General features: G+C 40.6%; 1 annotated feature.

The window, feature by feature from the left end:
* Nucleotides 12,536-12,595: a silencer, noted in NCBI's record as "silent region_20956". NCBI's record gives its function as "represses an Ori minimal core promoter by ATAC-STARR-seq in GM12878 lymphoblastoid cells {active_cell/tissue: GM12878}" and the evidence as "EXISTENCE:reporter gene assay evidence [ECO:0000049][PMID:35858748]".

Raw genomic sequence — 12,595 nt, 5'->3', positions numbered from 1 at the left:
AATTTTAGCACAGTTTTAGGCAAAAGCAGGAAGCGGTGCCTATGTGGTTTCTTGGCTACAGTTTCATACCACCTTCACATCTTGCTAACATACGCTGGAGAAAATACAATAATAATAAGAGTAATAATAATGATAGGTACTATTGACAGATAATCATAAGATCCTTCTTTAGACAGAAAGGAACCTATCTTCTCCGTTAGTTGTCCTAAATACTAAGAAAGAAATTCATCCAGAAGGAATGTAAAGGAAAAGAGTTTATATCTCCTACCTGTTCTCTAGACCCACCCTCAAGCCAAGCCCTTTTCCCATCATCAAATCTTCAGATTTAGCCAGGCAAATTGATTAATGATGGTTGATTCACTGATTTCCAGGACATTAGCAATGCTTGAGAGAAGAGGCTCGGTGTTGTCATAGGGAGTTGATTGGGTTTGTAATAAGAATCCTGGGTTTGGCCGGTCTTGGTGGCTCACGCCTGTCATCCTGGCATTTTGGGAGGCTGGGGCAGGCAGATCGCTTGGGGTCAGGAGTTTGAGATGAGCCTGGCCAACATGGTGAAACCCCATCTCTACTAAAAATACAAAAATTAGCCGAGTGTGGTGGTGCGCGCCTATAATCCCAGCTACTCTGGAGGCTGAGGCAGGAGAATCGCTTGAACCCAGGAGGCAGAGGTTGCAGTGAGCAGAGATTGTACCACTGCACTCCATCCTGGGCGACAAAAAAAAAAATTCCTGGGTTTTAGTTCTGACTCTGCCATTAACCTGTTATATGTCTCTGGGCAAATCATATGTCCTATCTGGATCTAAGTTTCCTATCTGTAGTTGATTTCTAAGGGCCCTTCCAAGTCTCACATGCTGTAATTTTAAGGAAACAATATAATTAGGTGTCTTCCATTGAAAAGTAAGGCAGGGAACACACTTGAGAGTTGAAGTCAGAGGAAAGAAACTGAGTATGTCAGAAACCTATTATAATCTAGGTTATTTTAAGTTAGATTCTTAAGATTATCATGAAAAACTATGCCTTTGAGGTTGCACAACTCTTTATATTTACTAAAAATCATAGAACTGTACATGTACAATAGTGGATTTTGTGGTATGTAAATTACACCTCAATAAAGCCATTAAAATATAAATTTGATTGTCATTTTATCACCAAATAATCATCGGCAGGGTGTATGAAATTGTGGATTGAGAATCTGCTGATTTATACACATGCATGAAGATGAGTGAGAGCAAAGGGATATGTTAATAATCTTGGGGGTTTTGTTGGCTCAGAGAAGCTACTGGGCTCCAAGGAGATTGATGAAGCTAAAATGTCATTGTCATATGGGAGGTAACTATTGATTTCACTGACAAGCCCTGTAATTATAGAACACAATGCCTAGTTACATTAATTAGAAGCGAGTAAGAGAGTGGAGCTGGAGCCATGCTGGCAAGGAGAGAGGGAAAGTGGAGATCAATCTTCTCTAAGATGTGGCTGGAGCATGCAGCGAGTGAAGAGAGGGAAAGCTGAAAAGTAGGGTGGAGATTGGAACCAGTTTGAAGATCTCTATGAGAAAGGCATAATACTTACTACTTTGGATTGCATATATATTCAATAAAATTATATATTAAACAATATTTTAAAATTGTAAAGCACTATACAACTAAAATTATTTTTAATAGGCAATACAGGCCTTTGGCAAAAATGCAAATGGTACGAAAAAAATGATGTAAAGAGACAGTGAAAAGTATATTTCTTCCCCACCTTTGTCACCCATTTACTCTCTACAGAAGTATCCACTATTTCATTTTTTGTGTGTATTCCTCTGGAGAAATTCTATTATTCTATCCACATACAAATTCATGTATATATATATGTGTATATATGAATGTATTTTACAAATGACAGGATACTGTTCACACTGTTTTTTATTTGTATTTGTATTTACTTAACAATGTAGCTAGGAGAGCACTCCTTATCAACACATATCGATCTGTATCATTCTTTTATTTTTTTTGAGACAGAGTCTCTCTCTGTCGCCCAGGCTGGAGTGCAGTGGCACAATATCGGCTCACTGCAACCTCCGCCTCCCAGGTTCAAGCAATTCTCCTGCCTCAGCCTCCCAAGTAGCTGGGATTACAGGTGTGCACCACCACACCCGGCAAATTTTTTATATTTTTGGTAGAGATGAGGTTTCACCATGTTGGCCAGGCTGGTCTCAAACTCCTGACCTCAAGTGATCTGCCTGCCTCAGCTTCCTAAGGTGCTGGGATTACAGGAGTGAGCCACTGCGCCCGGCCTGATCTGCCTCATTCTTTTCAAACACCTATAGAGTATTTCCTTGTACTGCTATTTATTTAACCAGTCTTCTTTGGAGGACATTTAATTTATTTCAGTGGCATCTGTTTTATCTTCTTAAATTAATCCTAACCACTTAACAGCAAAACCAGTTCTCAACATAGTGATGAAGGTGTTGGATTTTTTTGCTTAATATATCAGTTTATTGCTATGTTAATTTTTTCAGTAAGAGTAATAATCTTAATATCCCCAAGACTTTAAAAAAATTTTTGATGATGCAATAAAGAGCTGCAGGGAAATTCAAGCACAATTCACTTCTAAAGAGCTGATTTGGCCTGGCTAAATATAGTCTACCAGGCAGCTTGGGCAGGGGTTTCAATATATTCAGGCTCCAACTTGGAAGGGGAACTTAAGCTTTCAAGAATACTTCTTTGAAAGAGAAGAACCCAGAGAGGCAGTAGAATAAAGTGGAAAGATTTCTGGACTGGGTTTGGTTGCTCACACCTGTAATCCCAGCACTTTGGGAGGCCGAGGCGGGCGGATCACTTGAGGTAAGAAGTTCGAGACCAGCCTGGCCAAGATGGTGAAACCCTGTCTCTACTAAAAATATAAAAATTAACTGGGCGTGGTGGCAGGTACCACCTGTAATCCCAGCTACTTGGAGGCTGAGGCAGGAGAATCTCTTGAACCTGGGAGGTGGGGGTTGCAGTGAGCTGAGATCGTGCCACTGTACTCCAGCCTAAATGACAGAGAGATTCTGTCTCCAAAAAAAAAAAGATTCTTGGGGCTGGAGTCAGAAGACTTGAGTTTCAGCCCCAGTTTTGTTACTAACTGGCTATGTGACCTTGGGTAAATCGCCCCCTTTTAGGGGTTCAGTTTTCCCTCATATGTTAAACAGGGGCAGAAATAGCAAACTCCTAATGCTATTATATGGACTGGATGAATTAAGAGAGTCACATAAAGTACCTTATAAACGTTAAGTATAAATATTACCCTAAGGGACAGAGAGACATAAAGCCAGACTAGCTTGAGCTCCAGGTAGAATAAATACACGTATGACCACATACTGTAACCTGAAAGCTAAAAAATGGGCTAAGAAAGAAATGACCCCTTCTCAGTTAGATTTTTATGCATCTGGAACTTAACAAAGAGCAAAGGAACCCTTTTTGGAAAAGTTCCTGTATGTCTACAGTTTAAATGCCCATCCTTGTCACAAGCTGTTGGAAAGCATATTCCTATAAATACTTCCTTTTTTTCCTCTTTATAGTTCTCTATATTACAACTCACTGACCAAGGATATAAGTCCCTAACTGTCAGTGAGAGTGAAAGAGAAGATTTGCATTTTGAAGGTGGAAATGCTCCCTATTTAGATATGCCAGTTCAGATAAACCCAACTGTTTGTTTGTTTGTTTATTTATTTATTTATTTATTTATTTATTTATTTGAGATGGAGTTTTGCTCTTGTCACCTAGGCTGGAGTGCAATGGCGCAATCTCAGCTCACTGCAACCTCTGCCTCCCGGCTTCAAGTAATTCTCCAGCCTCAGCCTCCTGAGGAGCTGGGATTACAGGTGCCCGCCACCACAGCCGGGTTTTTTTTTTTTTTTTTTTTGTATTTTTAGTAGAGATGAGGTTTCACCACGTTGGCCAGGCTGGTCTCGAACTCCTGACCTCAGGTAATCCACCCACCTCGGCCTCCCGAAGTGCTGAGATTATAGGCGTGAGCCACTGCCCCGGGCCGATTTTTTTTTAAGAAGAATTGGACCATTTGACATTTCATTGGGAGGAAACCTAGAAACAGTGAAGGAAAAGCCAACCAGCACCCTGTGAGAGAAGAAAGAAAATGGAGAGGGAGGCCGGGCACGGTGGCTCATGCCTGTAATCCCAGCACTTTGGGAGGCTGAGGCGGGCGGATCACCTGAGGTCAGGAGTTCGAAAGCAGCTTGGCCAATATGGTGAAACCCCGTCTCTACTAAAAATACGAAAATTAGCCAGGCGTGCTGGTGCATGCCTGTAATCCCACCTACTTGGGAGGCTGAGGCGGGAGAATTGCTTGAACCCGTGAGGCGGAGGTTGTAGTGAGCTGAGATTGTGCCACTGCACTCCAGCCTGGGAGACAGAGCAAGACTCGGTCTCAAAAAAAAAAAAAAAAAAAAGAAAGAAAAGAAAAAGAAAAAAAAGGAGAGGCAGACAGAGATAAACTAAGTGTAAATTGATACAAGATTTTTGGAGGGCAATTTGGCAAGGGGTTTGTGTGTAGAAGACAGGCTGCTATGAGGGATCAGAGTCAAGCAAGTTGGTGAAGGCATCCCTGTGGAGGGGCAGCCTGGTGTGGGAAGTCAGAGCCTCAGAGGGCTAACAAGGACATCCGCATGATGGAGTGGCATGGCATGGGCTGTTGGAGCCTGAGTGGAACGAGGAGGTCATACACATGGGGGAGAGGTGATGTAGGGAGCCAGAGTCTGAGCAGGCTGCAGAGGGAATCCATGAGGCAGGGAGGCTGGTTATGGAGAATCAGAGGCACCCAGGCAGGGAGAACAGAGCTGTCAGGGAGGGGTGGCAATGGACATGGGAGATTGATTACTTTTTCAGTATTTATTTCTTTGCTTTTTTTTAAATTTTTTTTCTGAGATGGAGTCTCTGTCACCCAGGCTGGAGTGCAGTGGTATGATGATCTCGGCTCAGTGCATCTTCTGCCTCCCAGACTCAAGCGATCCTCCCACCTCACCCTCCTGAGTAGCTGGGACCACAGGCACACACCACCATGCCCGGCTAATTATTGTATTTTTGGTAGAGACAGGGTTTCACCATGTTACCCAGGCTGGTCTCAAACTCCTGAGCTCAAGTGATCCACCTGCCTCGGCCTCCCAAAGTGTTAGGATTACAGGCATGAGCCACCGCACCCAGCCAAGTGTTAGTATCTTTTTCTGTGTGACAATTTACCCCCAAAACTCAGCAGCTTAACACAATACACATCTATTATCTCAGTTTTTATGTGGCAGGAATCTGGGCATGGCTTAGCTGGGTGTCTCTGGCTCAGAGTCTCTCACAAAGCTAAAATCTGAAGCTTCAACTGAGGGAGGCTCTGCTTCCAAGCACACTCATGTGGTTGTTGGTAGGATTTATTTCTTCAAGGGGCGTTGACTGAAGACCTCAGTTGCTCAATGGCTGTGGCCAGAAGGCTCTCTCAGCTCCTTGCCATGTGGGTCTCTCCATAAGGGCATCTAGCTTCCCTCAGCTACTGAGAGGGAGGATGGGAGGGGGAGAGAGAGAGAGAAAGGGAGGAGTGGGTAGGGCAAGGGGAGGGAGGAAGAGAGAGACTAGAAGCCAGAGTCATCTTATAACCTAATCTCGGAAGTAACATCCCATAACTTTTGCTGTATTCTGTCATTAGAAGTGATTCACTAAATCCAACTCACACTCCAGGGGAGGTGATTCCACAAGTGGTTGAATACCAGGAGGCAGGGATCACCGAGGGCTATCTTAGAAACCTCCCGGCACAGTTACATAGAGGAGTATTGATAAAAATGAGTAAATATATTAAGAATGATGTAAGCTATCTTCTCATTGTCATAAATTATTACTAATGCAGAAAGAAAGAAAATTAGAATGAACCCTGTGGTGTTGGATTGGATATATCAGAGTAAACTCATGGTTAGATAAATGACAGATGGATAGATAGATAGATAAAAATGTGTGTGTGTGTGTAAGTGTATATAAGTGAGGACTCTGAGAGGCTCAGGGAGCAGCAACACACCAACAACAATATATACACCTGCTGCTCAGATTTGGCTTCTAGATACCATTTCCACTAAAAGGAATCAGGGCTTCTCCAGGCTGATTTTGGGACTACAGAAGGCAAAGTACAAGATGAGCCTGGAATATTTTGTGCCAGAAACTAAGGAGGTGCTCGAAAAATGATGGGGTCATGTCAAAGGGACATGGAAACCAGCTTAAAGGGGCTCCCAGTGGCCAAATCTAGGACAATTTGAGCATCAAAGTAAACAATGATAATAATGGACTATAATCCATTGAATAAAATAGGAAACCGTAAGTCTATACTGGTATAAACAAATAAATGAATAAATTGAAAGTTTGATGAGGAATGGAATATTTACACAGTTTCAACGTACTTCCCCAGAAGGTATGTACTAATTACAAAGAATAACTTCACAGTGGAGAAGCCTAGCACTTACCACCTTAGTCAAGAGATCAAAATGACCATCATGAGTAGTAATAGGACACGTTGAAATTATGCTCCACTTGACAGAATGCAATTAGAGCCTAGCGTCACTTCTGTGATAGCCCTGCCAAAAATAAGTAACCTAAATTTAATCATTGGGAAACATCAGGTAAACTCAAATTGAGGGATATTTCCCAAATTAACTGGCCCATAGTCTCCAAAAGTGCCTGAGTCTTAAAAGTCAACAGAAGACCAAGGAACTCTTCCAGACTGAAGGAGATGAAGGACACATGACAATTAAAAGCACTGCACGATTCTGAACTGGATCCTTTTGCTGTAATAGACCATTTTGAGACATCTGATGAAACTTAAATAGTACCTGGGGATTCAATGTTAGTAATCTATTAATGTTAATTTCCTGATTTTTGATGGTTGATTCATTCATGGTTAGACAGGAAAGTATCCTTGTCATTAAAAATATAAAAAGGTACACACTAAATTATTCAGGGGAAATGGGACATTGGGGTGGCAAATCACTTTCAAAGGGTTCAGGAAAAAAAAACCAGAACAACCTGTATTACACTTCCAACTTTTCTATAAGTTTAGGATTGGTTTAAAATGATAATAATAGTAGTAGTAGTAATTTAAAAATAATGAAAAGAATGCCATAATCATGAAAGTCAAAGACAGTCTGAAGAACAGTTTCAAGATGAAAGAAGGCTAGATATAAATGAAAAATGCAATATATGATGCTGAATTACATCTCAGACCCCCTCCCCCCAATTTTTTTGCTACAAAGAACATTATCTGCACAATTGGAGTATTATGAGTAAGGCCTGTAGGGTAGATAATAGAACTTTATGATATTAACTTCCTGATGTTAATATTTGCACTGTGCTTATGTAAGGAGATTTTTTCGGCCGGACACAGTGGCTCACGCCTATAATCCCAACACTTTGGGAGGCCGAGGTGGGAGGATCACCTGAGGTCGGGAGTTCGAGACCAGCCTGACCAACATGGAGAAACCCCGTCTGTACTAAAAATACAAAATTAGCTGGTCATGGTGGCACATCCCTGTAATCCCAGCTACTCGGGAGATTGAGGCAAGAGAATCACTTGAACCTGGGAGGCAGAGGTTGTGGTGAGCTGAGATTGCGCCCTTGAACTCCAGCCTGGGCAACAAGAGTGAAACTCTGTCTCAAAGGAAAAAAAAAAAAAAAAGAGATTTTTTTCTTTTTTCATAAATGCATCTAGGACAGAAAGAGAAATATTTTGTTCTAAGAAATACATACTGAAGTATTTAAAGTTAAATGGACCTCATAGCTAAAATTTACTCCCACATGGTTCAGAAAAAAGGTAATATGCATATATAGAGAAAATATGATAAAACAAACCGACAAACTGTTAACAATTGGGGAAATACGTGTGTTCCTGCAACTTCTCTGTAAGTCTGAAATTATATCACAATAAAAAGCTACAAAAATATACATATCCTTTGTCCTCACAATTATCTTTCAAAAGGTATCCAACATATATATAAAGATATTCATACATGGATGTTCACTGCAGTATTGTTTGAAATAACTGAAGATCAGGCTCAAACAAATTGTTTATTGATAGTGGATTTTTCATACTATGAAACACTGTGTAAGATAATTGGGTATATACCTGGGCTAAAAATAAGGAACAAATCACCTTACGTTGATTAGAATGGCTGCTATAAAAATAAACAGAAAATAAGCATTGGCAGGGATGTGGAGAAATTAGAACTTTTGTGTACTGTTAGGGGAATGTAAAAATAGTACAACTGCCATAGAAAACAGTATGGAGGTTTCCAACAAGCAAACAAACAACAACAACAACAACAAAACACACACACAAAAACCCCCAGAGCTATCATATGATCCAGCAATTTCACTTGTGGGTATATATCCAAAAGAATTGAAAGCTCAAATAAATGAGCTGCCTTGTTTCAAAATAATACATTTTCTACTAGTTTCTGCTATATTCATTGATTCAACCAATTTTTAAATATAAAGGTAACAGAGTTACATTCCACAGTGACATAAATATATTAAAGTAAACTAAAATTTCCACAAAAGTCTTTTCTTTTCTTTTGTTTTTTTCTGAGACGGAATCTTGCTCTGTCGCTCAGGCTGTAGTGCAGTCACGCGATCTGGGTTCACTGCAACCCCCACCTCCTGGGTTCAAGTGATTCTCCTGCCTCAGCCTCCCGAGTAGCTGGAATTACAGGCGCGTGCCACCATGCCTGACTAATTTTTGTGTTTTTTAGTAGAGACGGAGTTTCACCATGTTGGCCAGGCTGGTGTCCAACTCCTGACCTCAAGTGATCTATCCACCTCGGCCTCCCAAAGTGCTGGTATTACAGGTGTGAACCACCGCGCCTGGCCTTTTTTTTTTTTTTTTAATGAGATAGATTCTCACTCTGTCATCCAGAGTGAGGCAGGGGCATGATCTCAGTTCACTGCAACCTCTGCCTCCTGGGTTCAAGTGATTCTCCTGCCTCAGCCTCCTGAGTAGCTGAGACCACCCGAGTAGCTGGGACCACAAGCATGTGCCACAATGCCTGGCTAATTTTTGTATTTTTTGGTAGAGACAGGGTTTCGCCATGGTGGCCAGGCTGGTCTCGAACTCCTGACCTCAAGTGATCCGCCCACTTCGGTCTCCCAAAGTGCTGGGAGTGAGCCACCACGCTGGGCAGAAATTTCCACAAATAGTTTTAACAGGCAAGAGAGTCAAATGAATTGAGTGGGCTTCATGGCTGCCTTTCAATACAACTCTGTGCTTTCAGGTTGTACCCACGGCTAATGATTTTATCCAAAAGACAACAGGCCAGGCACAGTGTCTCATGCCTGTAACCCCAGCACTTTGGGAGGCCAAGGCATGCGAACCACTTGAGACCAGGAGTTTGAGACCAGCCTGGCCAACATGGTGAAGCCCTGTCTCTACTAAAAAAAAAAAAAAAAAAAAAAAAAAGAAAGAAAGAAATTAGCTGGGCATGGTGGCCTGTAATCCCAGCTACTCAGGAGGCTGAGACAGGAGAATTGCTTGAACTTGGGAGGCGGAGGTTGCAGTGAGCTGAGATCGCACCACTACACTCCAGCCTGGGTGACTAAGCTATACTGTGTCTCAAAAATAAACAAACAAACAAACTAACAAAAAACCAAAGTACAACATTTGGAGACTGCACTTTTTGCTGTTTCTCGGGTAAGGTAAGTTGATTTTTTTTTCAGTGCTATCAGTAACATAGTAAATCAATGCTACATGACACTTTTCCAATGCTACATAACATAACTCTTATTTTGTCCAGACTCAGAAGGAAGCTTACAGTAGGTGAATCCCTTGCAACCTGATTCATTTCTCACGTTGATTTCCAAAGGTCTAGAATAGAATGGCAGCATTTCAAATTATTGAACACTTGAATAATCTGCTTGGATTTTTTTTATTCACCTTAAAACTTGATAGTAAACAGGCATTACTGATTGGGGGTTATAAAGGATTTATGGCAGCAAAAGTTAAAAATTTGTTTTCTTTCTAATATTTGGATTCTGTTGTCACTTCGGTTGAAAATTAATGATAATTTTCTGCCCTGTGTATGGATATGGACCTTAATAAGATAATTGGGTATCTGCTATCAAATTTATATTCTTCAAGAGAAAGCCACATCAAATAAAAGAAACTGCTTAAGCCCCTTTTATTTTTATTTTGCAATGCTAGAGGGAATTCTAAGCCATATTGCTTACTGCTCTTTAGGTTTTATTTTTCTAAATTTTAATGGTGTCTTACACTTATGATGTATTTAACTTACATTAAAATGTAGATGTTTTAAGAATTTTAGTTTTGTTAAGGCTTTTCTAATTATAATTTAAGTAATAAAGGATTATTATAAGAGTAACAACTAGGATTAGGAATTTTTTTAGGTTTATCTGTGCTATGTTTACTGATTATGTCACTTAGAGTGACATTATATTTTGAAAATATATATCAAATGATAGCATAACAGGGTAGTTCTGTTGCTAAATATTTTGTGCAAATCTTTAAAAAAAGACTAATTTTTCTGATAATCTCTTCTTGTAACTGGTATATTCAAGGGTTTGGTCTCACTCCAGGAAAGCCTTTTCATTAAAAGATGAGATTGAAGCATTATGTCACTGACATTTATTAAATGCTCACAATGTGCCAGTCTCTGGGTTAGGTGTTCCAAATACCAATGTTCAAAACGACATTGCAAAGAATTATTCTCATTGTGCAAATGAAAAAATAGTGGCCTAGAAAATTAAGTCACTTGCCCAAGCTGTGTTATAAAGCTAATAAGTGGGAATAACTAGATTTTGAACCATGATTTTTTTTCCCAGACATTGGTAGTAATAGGTTTTCAAGTCAGTTTTCTTGGTATTATTTCTATTTTTGTTTTTATTTTTAATTGTTGTTGCTTATGCCCCAAAATGAAATGAATGGCATGCATTCTTCATGTATATTGTTTGAAACAAAAGTCCCGGAAATACACTAACAGGAATATCATTTATTGATAAGCTGAATTCTGTTTTACTTTTCCCCAATAGTCTATGCATTAGAAAAGAAAATATTTCACTAAAGTAATTAAAGCACAAAATCATTAAGATTCAACAACAACAACAAAAAGCTTTAGATGACAAGAGAAGCAATTTTCCCATTGTTATTACTTTAATATATCCCATTTGGAGCATTGGATAACCTAAAATACAAATCAACGTAATGATCAGCAGCATAGCATCTAGAACTAAATTGCTCAGATTAGAATCTCAGCTCTCGTTATTTAATCGCTCATGTAGGGCTGTAGCTTAAACTTTCTATGCCTCGGTTTCTTCATTTAAAAAATGGGGACAAAAAATGGAATTTCGGTCACAGTTTTTTAATTAGTACTAAATACCTTTATACAGTTTGTATATGTAAAACCCTTTTCATGGTACCTAACACAATAAGGAATAGCTATTAAATTTTCAGGTCAATTTATTTAACTGAAATGATTATGTATACTGCATCAGTGTACACAGATTTGTTTTATATTGGATGGAATATAACTTAAGAGATTAAATGATACAAAATATGGTTATATTTGATTTTATTTTGAAGCATAAAAATATTCAAAATATTATAACTATATTAAGCTATATTCTGTAGTTTTAATTATATATTAAAACTATATTCTATAGAATGGGCCTTGTGATATGGAAGTCAAGAAAGTGAATGCTACCTGAGGGAGCTCCACCAGAGAAGTCTATATAAGGGACTTGGCCATCCTGGTCTCCTCTGTGCTGAAGGGTCTATACTCTGGGGTGGGGTGGGGTGTAAAGGATAGACTCAGTTCCTGCCTTCCACTTTCAAAAGATATAAAGGAATTAAATTCAGAGACGAGCCTTGAACCCAGGTCTTTAGAGCAACAGAGCCTGGAGGAACGTGGCTGGAATTGTGTTCAAATTGTTGGACCACCATGGGCAGGAGGAACAAGACTGACTTTGCATGTCCTCAAACGTGCAGAAGTTACCAGGGGACCGGTTTCGCTCACTCTCAAGCCAGGAAGTCGGAGACCCGAACGGTGGTACACGGAGCCAGTGAGTCCTGGTCGCTGGAAGTTGGCCAGCCTCCGAAAGCAGGCCCCAGAAACAGAAAAAAACAATGCGAGGATAGTCAGTCGATGGCCTTTGTGGTTCTTCCTCACTCCCTGATGTGTAAATTTGGCCGAGCGCGTGGCCACTTCTCAGCAGTCCCACTTCAGGGATGAGGTGAACAACATCACCTCTCTCGTTAGTTGTATACTCGTTTTTTCAAAGGAAATAGGTCGCGTGGGGGTTAGTAGGCCAAGTGAGTTTCAGCCTCTAAATCACTGTAACTTCGTAGGGGTTGACGGGGGAGTAGCATGATCAAAGCCTCGAAATCTTCGGGAGTAGCGGCGCCTTGGGGTAAACTTTGGCTCGGCCTTTGCAGCAGGAGAGGGGCGGGGTTACTTGAAGGGCTCCTCAGGAGAAGGCGATTGGCCCTGGGGGAATCAGGGGGCGGGAAGAGTCCATCATTGCCACTGGTCTTGCCTGCAAGTTCAGGGCGAGCCGCCAGGGCGGCAGAGCTCTGAGGGCAGCCC

The sequence above is a fragment of the Homo sapiens genome, chromosome X (genome assembly GCF_000001405.40).
Source record: "Homo sapiens chromosome X, GRCh38.p14 Primary Assembly".
In the NCBI taxonomy this organism is placed as follows: domain Eukaryota; kingdom Metazoa; phylum Chordata; class Mammalia; order Primates; family Hominidae; genus Homo; species Homo sapiens.
Note: the sequence above shows the minus strand (reverse complement) of the source record. Positions and strands in the feature narration are given on the sequence as shown.